Source organism: Homo sapiens, chromosome X, assembly GCF_000001405.40.
Source record: "Homo sapiens chromosome X, GRCh38.p14 Primary Assembly".
Classification (NCBI taxonomy): Eukaryota; Metazoa; Chordata; class Mammalia; order Primates; family Hominidae; genus Homo; species Homo sapiens.
The window spans coordinates 108,211,636-108,232,130 of NC_000023.11; the positions used below are offsets into that span (position 1 = coordinate 108,211,636).

General features: G+C 42.8%; 1 protein-coding gene and 1 long non-coding RNA gene across 17 annotated transcripts in view; one reads left to right on the forward strand and one right to left on the reverse strand.

Moving 5' to 3' along the window:
- The window catches only part of COL4A6 (collagen type IV alpha 6 chain), a 283,845-nt gene that overhangs the window by 56,022 nt on the left and 207,328 nt on the right, over positions 1-20,495 (reverse strand). For 15 of the 16 annotated variants that reach the window (XR_001755650.2, XM_047441813.1, NM_001847.4 and 12 more), the window contains exons 4-7: positions 9,605-9,739; positions 8,063-8,107; positions 2,477-2,593; positions 37-105 (exon numbers count right to left, since the gene is read on the reverse strand). Coding sequence is in view for 15 of the 16 variants with exons in the window: in XM_047441813.1 (XP_047297769.1) it covers positions 37-105; positions 2,477-2,593; positions 8,063-8,107; positions 9,605-9,739 (366 nt within the window). In the remaining variant the exon portion in view is untranslated. Of the gene's footprint in view, positions 1-36; positions 106-2,476; positions 2,594-8,062; positions 8,108-9,604; positions 9,740-10,229; positions 11,209-20,495 lie in introns of those variants that run through there. The other variant, XM_011530853.4, reaches the window with a different exon arrangement.
- On the forward strand, positions 6,545-8,744 carry LOC124905205 (uncharacterized). Its single transcript, XR_007068304.1, has 2 exons — positions 6,545-6,865; positions 8,446-8,744. It is a non-coding gene; the product is annotated as an uncharacterized LOC124905205 (long non-coding RNA).

Sequence of the window (20,495 nt, forward strand, 5' to 3'; positions counted from 1 at the left end):
ATAGCCTACTCAGCTATCTGACTTACAGGTTCTTACCTTCATTCCTTTGAAACTACCTGGAGCAAGGACAGGGTCACCTTTTGATCCTTTCTGACCAGGAAGCCCCTGAGTAAAATAGTTTAAAAAATTGAAGAAATACACACACTTACAGTCTTTTTAATTGCATTATCTGATCAGATAGAGGATGGGACAGCAAGAGCCTGAAACCATGTGGCTTTTTCTATGGCAAAATTGGCTGTACTAAGGGGCAAAACACATTCCTTGACCGGGTGCTCTGATTCAGAGCTATATGCCCTCCCAATCCCCAAGCCAGAAGTCTGTAAAGGGAAAGGGTTTGAATGGGTCTGAAATGTGTTAAAGTCAGATACTTTACATCTATTCAGAGTACTGGTCTGAACAACCACAAATAACTCATGTAATGGAGAGTTCGCTGCTTCACCCCTCACAGGTATAGGTCACTGACAGAACCTTTGTCTAGGACAGAGGTTAGTAAAATTTTATGAAAAGAACCAGATAGTAAATAATTTAGGCCTTTTGGGTCATATCTAAACTCTGTTTTATACTCTTCTTCTTTCTTTCTTTTTATTTTATTATTTAAAAAAAAAAAAAACAGGCCACAAGCCAAAGGCCATGTGGTCCAGTTTGTAGACCTCTGGTCTAAAAGATATCTACAAAACTACCTTCATCCTGTACTTCTACCACACAACTTCAGATTCAAAGTCTGTCTAAGAGGCTGGTGTATCTCACTGCTAACATGAAAAATGGTTCAAAGTACACAATTCCAATCTTTCAACTAGATTTTTTGCTGTCTTACTGGCAGATGCTGGCTAATATCTGTTAGAGTTTGTACACCTGGGGATAATCAACGTCCCTACACCTAAGGGGAAGTCAGGATTAGTATGTGGGGTAGGGCTAAGCTTTGTGGACTGAAGCATTTATTGAATGATTGATTCCTTCAGCACAGGGATTATTGGTATCATAAAACAACAACGTGATCCCAGGAGCAGAAACCGTTTTTTTTTTCTCACTTTTTTTCCTAACACTGCCTGTTTCACTTTATTCTTGTGGCCACTACTGTCTTGAAAGAAGCTTCAAAAAAGCCAACTGAATGATCTGTTTGGTATTCAGCAAAGGATACATCTCCACTTAGTAAAATACATGCCCAAGTTCCTATTTAGGCTTGAGGTTAAGTTAAGAGACAGAACTAGGTTTTTTCCTTTGTCCTTTGTCAATGGGTATTTATTACCTCAACATTTATTTTCTCCTTTTAGGGGGTAGCATGTCCTTGCTTTGCTGGATTTTCATGGAAATGTTTTGTTCTATACCTGGTTGCCATGGCAATCTTTGGAGAACTTTGTAACCCACTTATCTCATCCTATGTTAGCAATACATCTTTCCTTACCTCCCCACCCCCCGGCATATTGATTTGGTCCTTAGGTGTCAAAGTCCTATATGCCAATCTGGGGCTTGTGCTTTGTCCATCTATCTCATTTTCTCACACATATACCCACACCCCAACCTGGTCACTGAAGGTGGTGGTGCTGCTCTTCCAATGAAGTGTCAATTAATTCATGTAGCTATAAAACATGTCTCATGAATGGAGTGATTTCTAGTTAAATATCTCAGATCAGTGCCCTCATGAGTTTAGATTATTTCAAGGGAGGTTGACAATGAGTCTGAAATGTGTTATTTTACTCTTTCCAGCCACTTGTAAAATCAGCCTGGAAGGGCATTGTATTTACTAGAGATCCCTTAGATCAAAATATCTGAGCCCTATCTGGATGAATAGAATTAAATAAAAGTGGTGACACTGGAATCCAATAAATACCTTATCAATACCATAACCAAGGGTTATGATGTGGGAGTGTAGCCACAAACTCTGTTACTATAGAGTAGGGTTTCTCAACCTCAGCATTATTGACACTTTGAGCCAAATGATTTCTAGATGTTGGGGAGGGGGCTGTCTTGTGCCAGTAGCACACCACCAATTGTGAGACCTCAAAATATCAATAGTAATTGCCAAATGTCCCCTGAGTGGCAAAAATCACCTCTGGTTAAAAACCACTGGTATAGACCAAGCTTGCAAGCCCCTTTGGGTTTTGGTTAGTGCTTCCATGATCCCATATAAGTCTTCCAAACATTCCTCAATATTGTCTGATGTGGGACCATGTCAAATAGCCCAAGTGTGTATTTTGCCATGAAATTTACTACAGCCTTTTAACAATCTTGCCAATTTCACAAGCTGCATTAAAAAAAAGGCAACCCTAAGCAGTGTAGCATGTGCACACCCCACTGCAACTGGTATTCTTCTTTAGACTTTTACTGTTGTGGTGCTGCCAGTATTGACTCCTACATTGGACAAGGGTGTGTAGTGGCTGCCCCACAAAATCTTGAGGTTTCCAGAGAGGCAGAAAAAGGGCACACGTAGAGACAAGCAAAGCCATTTGAAATAAAATGCAAATATCTGGCAGCATACGGGTGGTCCGAGAAGCCCAGGATAGCCATCAGGGCCTGGAAATCCAACAGCTCCTTGAGTTCCATTACAGCCATCCAGACCAGGTGGGCCTCTGGGGCCTGGTTGTCCAGGGTGGCCCTGTTCAAAGAGAAAAGAAGGGATCAAGTTAGCCAAAGGACTGTCAGCTATTCTAAATGGCTCCACAGCGAGAAAAGCCAAGCATGCTATTAAACTGTGGCTCCTTGTTCACTCCCTTAGCCCCATCATGTATGTTTGCATGTCTTTCCTTTATACTCAAGCATATGTGTCTAATCATAGCTCAATGTTGCCCCTCCCAAAAGGATGAATGCTTTAATAGGGACCAAGCTGAAACCAAAGGGATCAAGCATGAACAGATGGGATACACAAGGTCTTGCAACTTTACCTTCCTTGTATACAAAGATGTACTAAAATTGGGCTTAGCTGTCTGGCAGCTGAAGTGATACCAACAGGGAATCATGCCAGGCCTTGGGATTCCTCAGGCCAGACAGAACCTGAGCAGCCTGGCATGACATTCAGTATTGGAAGCTCTGCATGGGAAATGATGCTGGATTTTGGTTAACAGAGCAGAAGCAGTTCCCACAGCACCCCCTCTCCTGAAAGTTGCTTGGTCCAAAATAAGCAAGTCCTGCAAGAATCACATTTTCAATCTCATTTTATCATGCTCACACATCAGGCTATTGCTTCAGTTAGAAAACTGTATGTTTTCCTCTCCGTACTAACGACTGAGGCAGTTGTTTTGCTGGGGAATTAGTAATCATTCTCATACAATTCATCTGAATTCAATAATTTTCCAGAGTTGGGCTTCCTTGGTACATAGAGTCTACCCTTTTGTAGATAATATACCTTTTTTAATTCATCAAAAGCCAATTGTGTGTTGGGCATGGAGCAAAGAGATGACCAGAAAGACCAGAAATATAGACAGGTCAATAAAAGGTAGATGTCCCCCCTGCCGATGCAAACACACTTTAAAAGCCAAGTATATATATTTAATGATTTGAGAGAAACATGCTATATGTTCAAAAATGAACTTTTCAAATTATTAGAGGAAACAACCTTTTATCAAATTCTTATAGAGAAAATATTCTATAGAATTCTGTTTCATTTTCGTTGTTATTATAGTTGTAAGAGCTAGACACACTGTTAATACAAAAGTGTGAGTCTAGACTACTGGACTCATGGAATGCGAAGTCCAGAGGAATGGTCAATAAACTTGTCTTTACAACAAAGTTGCTGCAATCTGTGCCTCTGCAGACTCAGGTGATGATTTTTAGTTGCACTGGGGAAGCTGATGCAGCTCACTAAAGTTTGCAACTTTTTATTAGTAACTGGGATGGTTACTCTTGTTTGCCCTGAAGATCTACACTCTATCTCCCTCAGATCTATGTCCTAGGAGCCTGGCCTCTATGGAGGCAACCTAGGCTCCCTTTCGTTCTGTCTTCCAGTTGTATTTGGCCACTGGGAGACACAGACTGGAGAGATCAAAGCAGGACGAGAAAGACACAGGTTATTTATTTCTCCCATGCCCTCCCTCCTTGGCTATATTCCAAGGAAATGGACAAATTTTTCCATAGTCTTAGTTCCTATTCGGCAACAGCTTTTTCATGGTTCCAGATCTCAGAGGACTCCAGTAATTACCATTCCATTTTTTCCCCTTTCGGGTCTAGGGGTAGCTTTGAGTTAGTCGTTCCACCATCCATTGTTGTTTCCCTTAATCTTTCCCACATCTGTTAAATATAGCCTTCACTCAACTCTATTCAGTTAAACTCTTCAGGTGAAATGTCTGTTTCCTGCTGGGATCCTGATCACCACTATTATAAAATGTCCCAGCCAAACTTGCTAGGGGTTATCTCTCAGCTAGGTTACAGGGATAAATTGATGCAAAACAACAGGCTGGCTCAGTGCCAGGAGTCTTCCTCACTCCTGAGCCCTTGTTTCTGTTTGACACCAAAACCTTTGTCTGGATTCTTAACCTTTGGTATCCACATCTTTTACTTAGGCCTTATCCTTTTCTAGTTTTCTTGCCTGAACTCCTGATATTTCCTACCTGTAGGATTTCAGGGATACCTGTTTACACTTTCCTACCTTAGCTGAATTCTCTGGAAATAAATCTTTGACCTCTGACTCAGATCTATCAGCCCCTTTTCATCCAGCTGATACCAAGGAATGGGTAGACAAGGCATGTTTTGAGCCAGTTAGACTTGTGCTCCAATCCCACTGTTTCCCTTCCCCAGCTTGAGCCTCAGTTCCCTCATCTGTCAAATGGTGATGACTAATACCTACCTTATAGAGTCATTGTCAGCATTAAAAGTGAATAATGCCTATTCCACTGGGTTATGGTTAAAATAAGTGAGACTAGGTTTACTAAGTAGGAGCTCAATAAATGGTCTTCTCTCAGTCAAGTCAGCAAGGGTAAACCACAGGACTGAGCTCTACCTCCTCTCAGTTCTCAGAACCACAGAATTTCTGGCACATTGCCCTTCATTCTTATAGCTAATGATTTTACATATGTGTGTGCCAACCCTCCAAGAGCGTATAGCTCTTTGAGGGGGGAAACCACAGTTCTATATTGCCTCAAGGGACTGAGCACATGGAATAGGAGGATCTGTTGTATTCCAGAAAAGCTAAAGCAATGTTCCTCAGAACCCAGTTTCAAAGGAAAAGTTTCCATTTGGTGAGTGGTGTGTGTTCACTTTGAGGATATAAATCTCATGTGCTCATTTACAAGTCTCCAGGCAGGGAACTAGAGATTCAGGATTGACTCCATGGGGAAAGCTAAACATAAATTGCAAAGTGAAAATCTCTGCTCCCAACTGCCTTGAACTGAAAACATTTGATAAACACACATTTCTTGTGGATGCCAACAGGCCCAACTCACAGCTGGGATATCATTAAAAGCCACAGCCCTACTGTCCCTAGTCTATGTTGTTCTAATGTTGACTATCTTAGGAATGCTTGTTTGCTCACTCTCTTGATTAGTTGCTGTGCCCTTTAGTGCAAAGACTTAGGTTATCATGAAGTGACGACTAACCCACTCATGTTGAGATTGTCTACATGACAGCAAAAATGGAGTTTTGAGAACAAAGCTAGTGACACATATGTTAACAATCAGCTAATATTAAGAGGGGAAGCAGATCTGTGCAGTGATCCAGTTTAGTAAGATGTGTTGGGAAAGCTGTTGGTTTCAGCCAAATTGCTTAATATGTGTTACTGAAAGTTGAACAAAATAATCAGTCTGACTAGGCCTATGGTGTCTGTGTTTTTCTGTCTGGGGGAGCCCTGACAGTCTAAGAACTATTGCTAGGCACTAGAGGTTGGAGTCAGCCTCCACCGCAATATCTTTAGAGTGTTTACTCTATGCAGAGTTTGGTCATGGGCCTCTCAGGCTTCTGAGAGGAACGGAAGATATAATCTCTGCTTTCTAGGAGCTGGATGAGACTATCACAAAAAACTATCTATCACTAAGTCCCATAGGGCTGTAGGCTGTAGGTAGTGAGGCACTGGAGTATTTGAGACGGGTACCAATGACTCCTGGGAGATTAGAAATGGAAGGAAGAGGTAAGCACTGAACAGAAGATGTTCAACAAATACTTCTTGAGAGGCTTCAAGAGAGAGAAACAACAAGAAAGTGGGATTTTATGGAGTAATGAGGTTTGGAGCCTGCAGCTAGGGCAATCAGAAGTCAAAAGAAAACACATACAATTTTTGGTCAAGGAAAGGAAATATCAGGAGTTCAGGCAAGAAAACTAGAAAAGGATAAGGCCTAAGTAAAAGATGTGGATACCCCACAGGGAGTGGGGACTTCTACTGGGAGCAGTAAGCTCATTAAGAGGGGTCTGAACAGCTGCAACTCATTCTGCCAAGCAATGAAGCCTCGAAGAGAAGTGATCAACTCCTGCAAGCTCTAGGGCTCTCTTGGCCACAGGTTGGAGGCAAGAGTATCCAGCTGGACTCTGGGGCCGTTTCCAGCTCAGAATTGGAAACAGCCTTAGCCTCACAGGATTCACTTCCTTCCAGCTCCCATTAAAACAAGACTGCAGGAGGAAGGGCATACTAAGACGGAAAGCTCCAAGTCCTCCACTCATCTCTGGCAAAGCCAGGTCCACAGGATGAATGGAAGAGGCTGCCTCCAGTTTGCTAGTTTCCCTTACCCAGTGGCTCCCAGAAGATACACAGTCTGGGTGGAGACTCTGGCTAAAGGGGCATAGGAACACAGCCATAAGAAAATGTCAGGAGACATCACAAAAGGATGGCCAACCCTGTCCGCTTATTTTCCCACTGGTCTATTTCTGGGCATTTTTGCAGACTCTGCAGTTGAATAAAATGCTGAAGTCTGATGGCCGATTTGTTGATACATGCAACAGATACGAGGTAAGTGAGCCTTCAGTTCTTCAAATTCATAAATTTCTACTACATCAGAGGAGACAATGAATCAGATGATACTATCTTTCAGGGCAGAGCCACATGATTCCTCTGTATACCCAAGGTTGAGTGCTAACATACAGCAGGGGCACGTTAAATATCTATAGATTGGCAAAAAGAGATTTGAACCCCTTTTCCTGACATTAGATTATTATTGAGTATAACACAAAAGCTGTTAATTATAGGGCCTCCAAAAACCATGCTTTGATAAGGTTCAGAACAATCTCTGAGAGGCTGTTGGAAGGATAAAAGCAGGCTCTAGGACCTCCCACAAATGGAGGAGCTGCACTGTTTTTTTCTGTTCTATATGCTGAGATTCTGTTCTTCTATTAAACAAGATTGAAAACTGCTGCTGTAGACAAACATAGCCCAGACTATGGCTTAAATATATAGAGAAGTGTCAAAGGGAAAAACTAAAAAAAGATAGCCAGTAAGTTCCAAATATTGTATTTTAAAGGCTGGTGCAATGCTACCATGGAATCACCAGTGGTGGGATAGGCACAGATACAGGATGAAAATAGAGAAACTAAGGGATTAGGCTGGGTGGATGGAAAAAAGAAATGTCTGCAAGTTCCAAACCTTCCACTTCTCTTGGGCAGAGCAGAGGTCCACAGGACAAATTTTGCAAGAGGCTGCCTCCAAGTGATCTTTGGAGTAGTCACTTTGTAAAAACTTTAAAGGAAAATTCACTCTGAAATGAGGTATGTCTGAAGAGAACAAATTACAAAATGGAATGTATCAAGATATCATGAAGGATTTTACCCTCTAATTTCATGTACCATCTTAATTTCCCTATATGAGGATATATATCCTCTAATGTGGCTCTGTCTTTACACCTTAGAACCAGTTCCTCATCTCCAATCAAAGCTCCACTCAACCCACAAGACTTAACTCATGTTGGCTAAGATATTGATGTTATGGCTACACAGGTCCCTCCGCTCTCCAATCATCCGACATAGGGCTGCTTGTGCCTGAATCCAAGGGCAATTGTGTGTGACCACTGCCCTTTAAACCTCACCATACATATCTCAACACTTGTTCCTGAGCATGCTTGCATGAGACAGGATGTTGCTGAGGTCAAAGTGTCCAAAATATGAGGCAGAACCTAAAGGAGGATATGAAAAATTCATCTGTGGACACACTCACCGGAATCCCATTGATGCCAAGAAAGCCAGGAACTCCCATGGGACCCTAAAAAAAGGAGTAGGGAGAGGAATGTAAGACACAATCCAACTGATGTTTGTTAGACTCAGTAGGTTTATGAGAGTCAATGGCCTACATTTTTAAGAAGTGTTTCGTACCCCCCTCCCCATATTGTATTCCCTTGATTCCTACTGCAGTTCGAAGTGACCATTTACCTCTACCTAAGGCCTTAGACAGGTCTTTGTTCCGAAACCAGCTCTTTTTTTTAAGGGAGTATAGTCGAGGTTTTAAAATTAAGGCTTACTATTACCTGCTGCCATCTGGGGAAAACTGGAGAACCTTGAATGACCTAATCACAAGTTTCCCTCTCCATTATGCTTCTACAGATAAGGTCCCCTAGCCGAACAACTCTCCTTATCAAATGGACCAGGTGCAATTCCTGCTTATCCTGGAATAGCAGTTTCAATTTCTTGCTGGCCTACTGGACTATTCAAACAAGCCAATTGCATCCACCTTCAGGAACCAGGGGCACCCTGCCCTACTGATACTACAAAGTCTGCTTTGCACAGCCTTTTCTTCTAAACTCTGTTCCCAAGTGCTATCCCTATGTGGCCCTATGTGGTGTGTGGTATCTTCCTCCCCTGAGCTGTGAGTATATGTGACTAATAAATTGCTGTCAACTTCATCTGCCCAGTGTCAGGTGTCATATCTTTAGTCATCCCCATGATCCTAGTGAGGGAATCGTTCCCTCACCAACAGGGCGAATAGAAGGTGATTAAAGTAGGCAGGGAACATAAACTGAGCTGCTGAACAGTCAGCCTGCCACCATGACATTATCACTCTCGTTTCTTGCAGCTCTTTCCCTATATTTGTGGCCTAGATTGCTTCTAAGCACTCTGACCCCTTTCTTCCCTGTATCCTTGCTTGGATTCCTGATCTGTGCTGCCCAGGTGATTGGACTTCCGGTCCATGTACAGTTCAAACCCACCTGACTTCTTACCACAGTGAGCCCACTTGTTTAGCAAGCAGCTAATACATTTACTTTATGGTGTGCTTGCTATGGGAGTCCTTCCAGAAGTGGGCTGATCCATTGGCAGGCCATCACCCATCCCATCTCTTATTAAAATATGCAGCCTGGGTGGGGCATGGTGGCCCATGCCTGTAATCCCAGCACTTTGGGAGGCTGAGACTGGTGGATCAGGAGTTTGAGGCCAGCCTGGCCAACATGGTGAAACTCCATCTCTACTAAAAATACAAAAATTAGCTGGTGGCAGGCACCTGTAATCCCAGCTACTTGGAAGGTGGAGGCAGGAGAATCATTTGAACCCAAGAAGCAGAGGTTGCAGTGAGCCGAGATCACGCCATTGTACTCCAGCCTGGGCAACAGGGCGAGACTCTGTCTCAAAAAAAAAAATGCAGAAATGCAGCCTGGCACCAAACTACTCAGGAATGACATCATAAATGAGCAGAACTGGGATGGAGAACTTCTGATCTTTACATTTGTGGCCCATGCATCAAAGAGAAATCAAGCTTTGCTGGTCTTACCTTATCTCCTTTTGGTCCATAAGGTCCCAGAAGGCCTGGGAAACCCCTTTCTCCTTTCAATCCCGATAAACCAGTAGAGCCAGTGAATCCTTGAGGACCTGTTGGGCCTTGAATTCCAATTGGTCCAGGTCGTCCCTAAGGTGGACAGAAGGAGTGCAATTAGTCAATAGAGGACTTAGCATTAATACTTCTCATTTTCCCACGCACAAAGAGCACTGTCATAACTTCACTGAATAATTTTGGCTAAGAGATCTGTGAGGCACGCCAAAGTTCCAGACACGGATCAGAAAAGGCTATTTTAGGGATTGCTAAGCTTATTTGGATAGAACACATTTTATAAGCACATTTAATAAGATTCATGTGCACCAAGATCCTTCAACTTTGTACTTCTTAGGAAATCAGTTATTCAGGATGGATAATATTGTCCTCTTCCTAGTTAATGCCAGGCCATCCATCAGATTGTCAAAATAGTGAAAGAACAGAGCGCTGGAGAGCATCATGACATTTTATAACTCACGTCCAAATGGCCAACCATGTGCTTGCAGTGAAATCCAGAAATGGCTGTGGCTAAAGAACATTGCCCCAGGGGGCCAGAGTGGGCCCAGAAACCTACAGGCTGACAAACCTGCAAGAGCTCATCTTCGTTGGCAGATCCCAGGACTCCATCACTGCACCTAGTAGCAGACATTCACAGGGAAAACACACATACACATGCACATATACACACATGAATTGCTTATTTGTTCTTTCTTCCTATCCCTCTCTCCTCTCCTCTCCAATCTGTAAAGTGTTGAATGTGTAAAATACAAGAAGCCTAAGAATATCTATTAAGTATCAATTATGATAGCAAGAGGGAACAGCCTGAGGATTTTAAATGCCCTGCTTATAAAATGTCTGTAACAATTAAGTCTGAGAGTTCAGGCTGACATTTTAAAGTGGACTCAGACTGAGTATTAACCCTAGTGGGTGCAACACAGGCAGGCTGGTCTATCATTTAGAACAAATCCCAGTAGGGACTGAATTTTCTTGGCAGAAAAATGAAAACCATTAGTAATATGCATTACCTCTCAGAGAGCACAACACCGTATCAGGTAGAAAGTCCATTTTCATAAATGCTTCCCATCTCCACCTCTTGGCCCCTTTACTGACTGTCCATCATTTCCTACAAATCTGTGAAAAACTTTGAAAAGAAGCCCATTAAGCATGCCCTTTACTGTTCACCTTCAAGGCTTACTTTTTAAAAGGCTGAAAATGGGACAGATGCCTTATGCTGTGGCTACAGTTAAGTACTGGAGATGCAAGTGGCCACCAGCTGTGATGATCCTTTGGAGTATAATTTTGAGTGTCAATCAGGCCCACGAAGACCTACGACCCTTGCAAGGAAGTAAAAGATGCTCTGTCCAAGGAAATGCAGTTCTCTTGGGCACCACCTACCACTTAACCTTTTCCAATACCCAACATGTGGCCTACAAAAAATGATAGGTTGCAAACTGTTTAACAGGCTTCATTCTGGGAATGATGGGGGTGGAGTAAACTTTCAATTTTTAGGCTCCTACCTCCCATTGTTGGAACTTTGTTTACAGTGGTTCTGTTATTTATTATTATTGGGATTTTCACAAAATCAATAAATATGTGTGTATATATGTATATGTGTGTATAATGCATATTAATAATATAAAAAGAGCAGTACTTAAAAAATAGTGCTGGGGTGCTGTTGACAATGAGTAGGAGGTCGAAAGCATGGGCCTACATCAATGATAGACTGGATAAAGAAAATGTGGCACATATACACCATGGAATACTATGCAGCTATAAGAAAAATGAGTTCACATCCTTTGCAGGGACATGGATGAAGCTGGAAACCATCATTCTCAGAAAACTAACACAGGAACAGAAAACCAAACGCTGCATGTTCTCACTCATACGTGGGAGTTGAACAATGACAACATATGGGCACAGGGAGGGGAACATCACACATGCGGGCCTGTTGAGGGGTGGTGGGCAAGGGGAGGGATAGCACTGGGAGAAATACCTAATGTAAATGACGGGTTAATGGGTGCAGCAAACCACCATGGCATATGTATACCTGTGTAACAAACCTGCACGTTCTGCACATGTATCCTAGAACTTGAAGTATAATTTTTTTAAAAAAAGAAAGAAAATGTGGGCCTAGGTTTCAAGACTAATGCATACAAAATCACAGCAAACAGTACAAATTTGGAACAGAGCCTAAGTGCTGTGGGAACATGAAAAAAGAGTTGGCAATGGAGGGTTTGTGGAAGGCTTACATTTTGCCCATGGCTGGGGGAAGTCATGGGCCGCACTGGAAAGGTTGATTGGAAAGGTTCCAGCTGAAGCGGGCCTGGAAAGCACCGCAGAAAAGTCGAAGTCGTGATGTGGCAGGACACAGGGAACCCTCAGAGGTTTGGGAACAGGGGAGAGTTGGGAGAAGAGCGGTCTTTCAGGGCTGAAAGTCATCAAGAAGCATTCAGGATAACATGTGTATGTCAGAATGAGGCCAGGGCTGCCTGCCTGAGGCTGGGACAAGGGAGGCAGATAAGAAGCAGCTGTTGAGGAGGAGGGAGCTGCTTGATGGGAGAATGGAGGGCAGGATGGGCTTGCAGAGGCCATGTTATTACTAGCAGAGAGGATCCAGTCAGGGCACTGAATGCTTGACCCAAATCCAAGCCCTGACAAAAGTTTTCCCACATCAAGGGAAGGAAGGGGAAGAGGACAGTAAATCACTGAACAGCTACTGAGAGAGCAGGTTGTGATGTGGCCCAGTCCCATCCTGCTCACACCATTAGAGAGAAGAGTCCCAGCAGCACCCAGCATAGGCACAGGGACTGGCACCCTCTACCTCTGGTCTCTTACCTTTGCAAGCACATGCTTATCAGCAAGGGTAAGCAAGGAGACTTAGGAGGTAGGCAACTCGAGGGCTGGGCCTAACTGGAACTCTGATTCCATGTAGAAAAGACAGGGTCCCACAGCCTGCTTCCTTTCTCCTGGCTTGGTGGGCATGCAGAATTTCTTGACCCCTGTGTTCCAACAAGAGAGCTGAAAGGAACTCTCCTAAAGAACTCACATATATTTTTTAAATTCTAATTCTTTTTCCAAATAGAAGTTTGAAAAGGCACCCCCTAGAGGAACATGCACTTCTGGACTGGCCCCAGGTTCCAGCTTGGGTTGGCGGGCGTGCCAGCAGCTCAGTTTGAAACCTCTCACATTGAATCAAGGGCCAGAAGCAGGGCCTGTGGGAAGTTTCTAGGCTTCTGCTCATCCAGAACTGTCCCCTCAGCATGGTGTGAGGCTCTTATGGAGCCTGCAGTCATAGGATATGAGACAAAAAGCCTTCCCATCCATGGATGTCCTTTCATACACTGGCACAGAACACCGGGAACAAATGAAGGTGACTGAGAAAAAAAAGAGGCAGACCCATTTCTTCTGCGGGTTGTTTTGTCATCCAGATACGCTTACTTTGTGCTTATAGCTGTATGATCTTTTTTCCTCATCTCTAATGCACAGGATTTCTGCCTCATTACCCATACAGCTAAAGCTTAATATTAACTAAATCAGTGGTGAATTCCTTTCCTTTCCCACCCCGACACTATCAGCGACATTTTTCATAATGGCCAGCAGAGGTCAGTGTGAGAACATAGAGACTACAGATAAGCAGGTGGGTAGGTGGGCCTCTCCCTCTACAGAGAAAAAGAAATCAAACCAGTGTCAGAGAAGTCACAGAATGTTCGAGCAGGAAAGGCCCTTAGAGACCATTCAATCCGGGCTTTATTTTATACATGGGGCGGGGGGCGGGGGGAAGGGGGAAGGCCGAGAGAAGAGGAAGGACTTGTTTAGGTCACGTAGCTAGTAGGAACGGCATGGAACTAAACAGACCACCTGCTGCCAGTATGTGGCTGTTTCCCTGTTTGCCAGTGGCAGATGTCTTAGGGGGTCCTTGAGGCTGCCCCTCCACTACCCTGGGCCCGCCCCTGGGACTGTCCCCATCAGTAGGCTGCAGCAGCCAGATGCTCACACATTATTTCTTTTTTCCTAACCCTGATCATTTCACAGAACCAATCTGAAACACCATCACTGTTTGGACAGCTAGCAGAATTTCAATGGGCTTGGACTAATGCCCTGTTCTGATACATGTCATTTATTTTGGCAAATAGACCCAGACAGGGCAGAAGGAACTCCTCCAAGTCTTTCCAATGAGCTCTCCTGCTTCCATCTGCTCAGGATTTTAAATATGCACATCAGGGTCTAATTCTCAAGGGAATGAGTTGGGACTTGTGCTTAAGGCCAGGAACCGCAGGTCTGCAACCACAGCCCAGGCTGGCTGCCTCCTGCCAACCACAGTGAGTTGGGATCAGTGTGAAGTTTAAGGTGGCCTCTGATCAGACCCAGATAACTAGGGTAAAAGACCCAGAAATGGGGCTGCCTATAAAGTAGTAGACATATGTAGATATATCATCGAAGAATCTTAAAAGCATATGCCTCACACTAGACAGGACGGTGAAACTGGTGGAGGGGGCTGACTTTTCATAACTTAGTCCCTTTCTGCCTTTTTATACCTCCGTTAAGGTTCCAGTGTTCTTCTCCCATAAAATTAACATTTGTTCCTGAGGAAGAATCTGAAACTCATTCCCACTGAGGCGTTAATGACTGACAACTTAGAGCTTTGCTTTTCCCAGAGGGATTTGTAAAGCAAAGCATTAAGCTAGGGGATGCAAATGGTATTTATGAAGCAGGGAAGGGAGAAGGGTGTGCACAGGCCTTCCTAAGGATCCAGTTGTATTGTAGAAGGTGATGCAGTGCTGTTAGGTACACTTTAAATGAAGTCTCCTTACTGCCAATTAAGTTATGTGACCTTGGGCAAGGGATATAACCATCTTGAGTATCAAGGGCTGAAGTGTAATAATAGCTCTTACGTTGGATTATTGTCAGCATTTAAATGAGTTAATACATATAAAACACCTGGCAGATAGAATGAAAGCATTAGTTCCCTTTTTCCTTTAGGCATCATTTATGGCAAAATGGAGAGTTTAGGATTGGGCACCAATGCTCCTTCTCTTAAGTTTCAGTTGGAGATGCACAGACATCATTGAGCGACCCTCTTTGGGGGCAGAGATGTGTGCTTGGGAATAGATGAGCATGTATGCCAGTACCCCACATCTGTGAGAGCATTTCTCCTTTTACATAGCAATGGTGTCCTGGTTCTCCTTGGTACTTGGCTTCTCAGTGTTTATTTTTCCTCCTGAAGGGCTTTAATCTACATACTAATGACTCCCAAACCTGAACCTCCAGCCCAGATTTCTCTTCTGATTGTGCCAGATCCTTATAGTCAATGACGTATAAGAGATCTATTCAAATAAATATTCCAACTCAAACCCAACATGCCCCAAACTGAACCACATTGGCTTCTCCTCAACCCCATTCTCCAAACCAGCTCCCTTTTTCTGAGTTAACTCAGTAAATGGCACCATTCATAAAGTTGATGAAGCCAGAAACTCAGGGGTCCTCCATGACCCTTCCATTCCCTCATCTCCCACATCCGATCCATTAGCAAGGACTGTGAATTCTACCTCCAAAATCTAACTGAAACCTGTTCATTGATCTCTAGCCCCATGGTCTTAGTTCAAGTCTTTCTCATCTCTCGCCTGGAGTGTTGCCACAGTCTGCCAAATGGTCTGTGACCTCCAATCTTGCGTTACTCTCTCCTAACCTCCTACTCCAGGGCCTTTTTATGTGCTTTTGTATATGGCTCTGCTCTCCTGGCTACCACTTCTGTATCTTTTGGGCTCTAACCAAGATATCAGCTTCTCCAGGGAGCTTTCTATGATTACCCCCACCCAATGTGTGGGCTAGGTTGCCTGTTTATGTGTCTATACCTCCCAACAGACTGAACTCCTTGAGGACAGGGCTTATGTCTTACTCTTTACTGAATCACCTGTGCTCAGCACTATGCCTGGTACACAGTGGGCATCAGTAAATGTTTGCTGAGTGGAGAAATGATTGAGAAATGACTGAGAAGCCAGTGGCCCAGGTACAGCAGTATCTTGTTTGGAAGTCTAAATAGTGTTGAGGAAAAAGTCAAACTCTGTAAAATATTTGAAGAGATTTATTCTGAGCCAAATATGAGTGACTAATGGCCCATGAAACAGCCCTTGGGAGATCCTGAGAACATGTGGCCAAGGTGGTCAGGCCACAACTTGGTTTTGTACATTTTAGGGAGACATGAGATATCAATCAACACATGTAAGATGTACATTGGTTCAGTCTGGAAAGCTGGGACAACTGGAAGCCTGGGGCAGGGTGGGGGGGCTTTCAAGTCATAGGTGGAATCAAAGATTTTCTGATTACCAATTTGTCGAAAGAGTTATTATCAATAGAAGAGAATGTCTGGGTTATAATAAGGGGTTGTGGAAACCAAGGATATATCATAATAGATGAAGCCACCAGGTAGCAGGCTTCGGAGAGAATAGATGGTAAATGTTTCTTCTCAGACGTAAAGAGTCTGTTCTATCAGTAACTCCAAAAGGGAGGAGAGTATAATGAGGCATGTCTGGTTCCTTGTTCCTAACATGGACTGAACTAGTTTTCCAGGTTAGCTTTGGAAAGCCCCTAGCCAAGAGGACGGATCCATTCAGATGGTTGGGGGGACCTTAGAATTTTAACTTTAATTTATGATAGTTGCAATAGAGTGCAATCAGGAAACATCTGATCACAGAATCACTGAAAAGAAAGCTGCATAAGACTCAGGAATTGATCCAGTTCAGGATGGAGAAGTTGAAGGGCAGAAAGAGAATGGGACTTACCCAAGTTCATACAACATCCACTGTAGACTTTTAAAACAATACCTTTTAGAGCCTTTGAAAACAGAAATGGTCTACATCTAATGTAGTTTCTGGGCATTCTTTGTTCTCTGAGATCTCTGAGTGAAATGGCTTTGATTCTCATCCTGAATGGAATTCATCCATTCAACAATGATTTATTCAGCACTTACTCTGTGCCAGGCACAGAGGTTAAGATGGCAGGTAAAACATAGTTTCTGCATTCATGAAACTTATAGTTATGTTATCCCTTGAAAACAGATGATGCATGGCCCATCACCAACCTAATTAAACACTTTTCATCTCATGCTGAGTTTTGTGCTTGGCAAGTATGAATATACATGTAGGGGCTGAGAAGGCAATACACAAAAGAAACACACTGCATGGCCCATGCCCTCAAGGAACATTTAAGCTTGTTGGGGGAGATAAGGCCATATCACAAAAAGTATTGGAGATAAGGTCATTGCATTAAAGGAAAGAGATTTAATTGACTCACAGTTCAGCATGGCTGGAGAGGCCTCAGGAAACTTATAATCATGGCAGAAGGGGAAGCAAACATGTCCTTCACATGGTGGCAGCAAAGAGAGGTACAGAGTGAAGGGTGGGGGAAGCCCCTTATAAAACCATCATATCTCATGAGAACTCACTCACTATCAAGAAAACAGCATGGAGGTAACCAGCCCCGTGATTCAATTACCTCCCATTGGGTCCCTCCCACGACATGTGGGGATTACGGGAACTACAGTTCAAGATGAGATTTGGGTGGGAATATAGCCAAACCATACCAGTCATATGCAATGCATTTTTAAAATTATACTGTATATACCACAAGTCCAAGAGGAATTCAGAGACGTGTGAATTGACAAGGGAGCAGAGGGGCAAAGAAAGACCCAACAAACTGTTAGTGAATGCATTCTAAACATGAAGAACAACATGTTGATGGGAATCAGCGAATTCTGTAAGCGAGGGCCAGTCAGAAGCCTGGGTCTGGCTGGAGCAGAGGTGAGATCACAGAGAATCAGTAAGAAAGGGCAATAGAGAATAACCTACAAAAATTTACAGATGCTGAGGTGTTTAATCTGGTACATTAGCATGTTTTGTTTTAAACTTTAGTTTGGCTTCCAGTTTGGTTCAGAATTTAGTGAAGTGAGATGATATGCTAGCTAAGTGTACAGGGTTCAGAGTTCAGAAGTCTAGGATTCAAATTCCCTCTTCACCACCGTAGGACTTTGGGACAAATGGCATCTTCAAATTTCTTCAGCTGTCAAGTGAGGATAATATCAGTGTCTACTTCATAGGGTAATTATGAAGACTAAGTAAGAAAATTCGAGTAGATCATTATTTTCGCTCCTTAGCATGCATCAGACTTACGCAGAGGTGATTAAAACACAGATTGCTGGGCTTCAGCTCCGGAGTTTCAGATTCAGTAGTGCCGGCTGGGTCTAAAAATCTGCATTTCTAACAAGTTCTCAGGTGGTACTGACTCTACAGGATCAAAGACCACACTTGGAGAATCCCTGTTGTAAATCATTTAGCATTGCACCTTGCATATATTAAATGTGCAATAAAAGTTATTTGTTGTTATTGATGTATTATTATTCAGCAAATGATTATGGCTTGTGCAGGTTTGGAGTTCACAATCTCTGAAAGGCCCTCAGCATTCCTTTATCACTATGACTTAGGGCACCTCTCCTTCTTCCTCATTATGACACACCACAAGAGGAAAGGAGTGGATGGAGTAGCAAGACTGGAGACAGGGAACCCCATGAGGGGTCTATGACCTCCTGAAGAGAAATAATGGTGACATGGACTAGGTTCATGGCAGTGGAGACAGGGAAAAGACATAGTTGAGAGATATTTCAGAGGCTAAAAACTATAAGGATTTAGTGCCATATTGGAACTGATGAGCAAAACAGAGGAAAGTGCAAATGATGACTCCAATGTTTCTTGATTGGGCAACCGAGTGGATCTCTTTGATGACATGAGAGAACTTAGAGGAAGAAGAGTCTTGGGTGGAAGATGAGGAATTCACCTTTGGACAGGTGGAATTTAAGATGCCTGGGCAAACATCTAGGGAGATGTTTAGCACATTTTTCCCACAAAACAGGAAGATTTGAGGAAACAGAGTGAGGTTTGTTCACCACCATATCCCCGGAGATGCAGTATTTGGTGTGCAGTAGACACACAAAACATAATTGTGGGGAAAATGCATAATTATGAAATGAATGAAAATAGAGAATTAAATATGCACTGGGGAATCTTTGAGAAGGCCACTTCCAAGTCTCATTTGCTAGGAGCAAAATGGAATTAAAAGAATGTCACTATCCTAAAAAACTCCTTGTGGCCTTTTGAGAAGGGGGAGCAGAGATCCTTGACCTCCAGCCTAGAAACAAGGTGGCTTGATTTTTACAATTTGTCTTTGCTTTACAACTGAAATTCTCATTTCAGCTGATGGTTGGGGGGAAATGCAAGAACTTAACAAACTTTACCTCAGTAGCCAGGGATCTTTCTCCTAGCAATGAAATGTGGTAAGAAAGATACTAATAATAACACCCCCATGAGTAGAATACTTAAACTTCACAGCAGTTTTCTTTTCACCATTCCTTTGGATCATCACAATACATCTGCAAGGCAGGCGAAGGGCACCAAGCTGCAAAGCAGTTAGCCAATAGGCTGGCTAATGTCACACAGCTGCACAGTGGAAGAGTTACATCAGAGCCTCCCAGTCAACTCTGTGCTCTCTCTGTTGAAACAAATGGAGATGAGTATCCATAGAGCCATACACTTCACTCTCCTAGTAACAGCACTAATGAACTAGCATTGCCTGCAGAAGTAAATAAAAAAGAAAGAATGCTGGTGGTGAAGAATGTGTCTAGCATATGGCAGGTAAAGACTCATATCATGCAGATATAGAGACCTATTTTGTGGCCCAAGAAGTTTTGGATCAGCTTGATAATGTTAACATCACCTACAATTTACCAACAAGAGCAGTGACCCTTTCCATCTACATACATACATACATACATACATACATACATACATACATACATAGTGACTGATGTCTTGCAAAGGCAATTTTCAGGTCTGCCACAGCTAATAAATAGTATCAGAGTCTCCCCCTCAACACTCAAATGGAATCACATTTCTTTTCTAGTTCTTCATCTATAATCAGCGTTTGAAGCAGCCAGCCCAGGCATGAAGACATGCATCTACACGTTTTGTTTTCAAAGATACATACACCCATTCCACTGGTTATTGTCAGCATGTTGAAATTTTTTGGAAGACATATCCCGACTGATAAAGTTAACTCTTGCTAGGCAAGACTTTGCATCCATTTCTTCTACCTGTTTACTGATATTTCTCTTCTAAAACATAATAATAACTTTCTTTTACCAAGAGTTTATAAAGTGCTATTCCTTAAATTCACCTCCTCTATTCTTTTAACAGCCCCAACAGGTGGGTATTAATCTCATTTTACAGATGAGGAAACTCAAATACAGAGAGATTAAGGAACTTGCCTGAGATCACACAGCAAGCAACTGGTGAAGCCAATTTGCTGATATCAAAGCCTCTGTTTCTTCCACCAAGCTACACTGTCTCTGCATTGAATGATGCTCTGAACGCAGAGACACAAACCCATGAACAGGAGCAGTAAGAGCTACACTGCGGAGAAAATATTGTTATTTTCATTGATACCAAAGCAATTTATCTCAATTTACCCACACTTTTCATTGGAATAGGTACTCTTTAATAGAAATGTACTAATATAATTAATAAATTAAGAAATAAGATGCACTTCAAGGAATGGCACTCCCTAGAACTTAAAAGATGGGGGATTTCTTCTGGTTCCACAATTAAAGTGGTCTTCTTACCTGGTCAGTGGGTAATGGTTAGTTTATCTAGGCTCTGGTAGACAAATTCTGATGTGCTATGAGTCTCCAATGCTAGCATATTAGTTTAGTGGCAGAAGGAATATAGGCACAGTATGCTAACTTGATGGTCATTAGGTTGAGCAGAAATTGGAGAACTAGTCTTTAGACATGTCATATTTTCCCTTA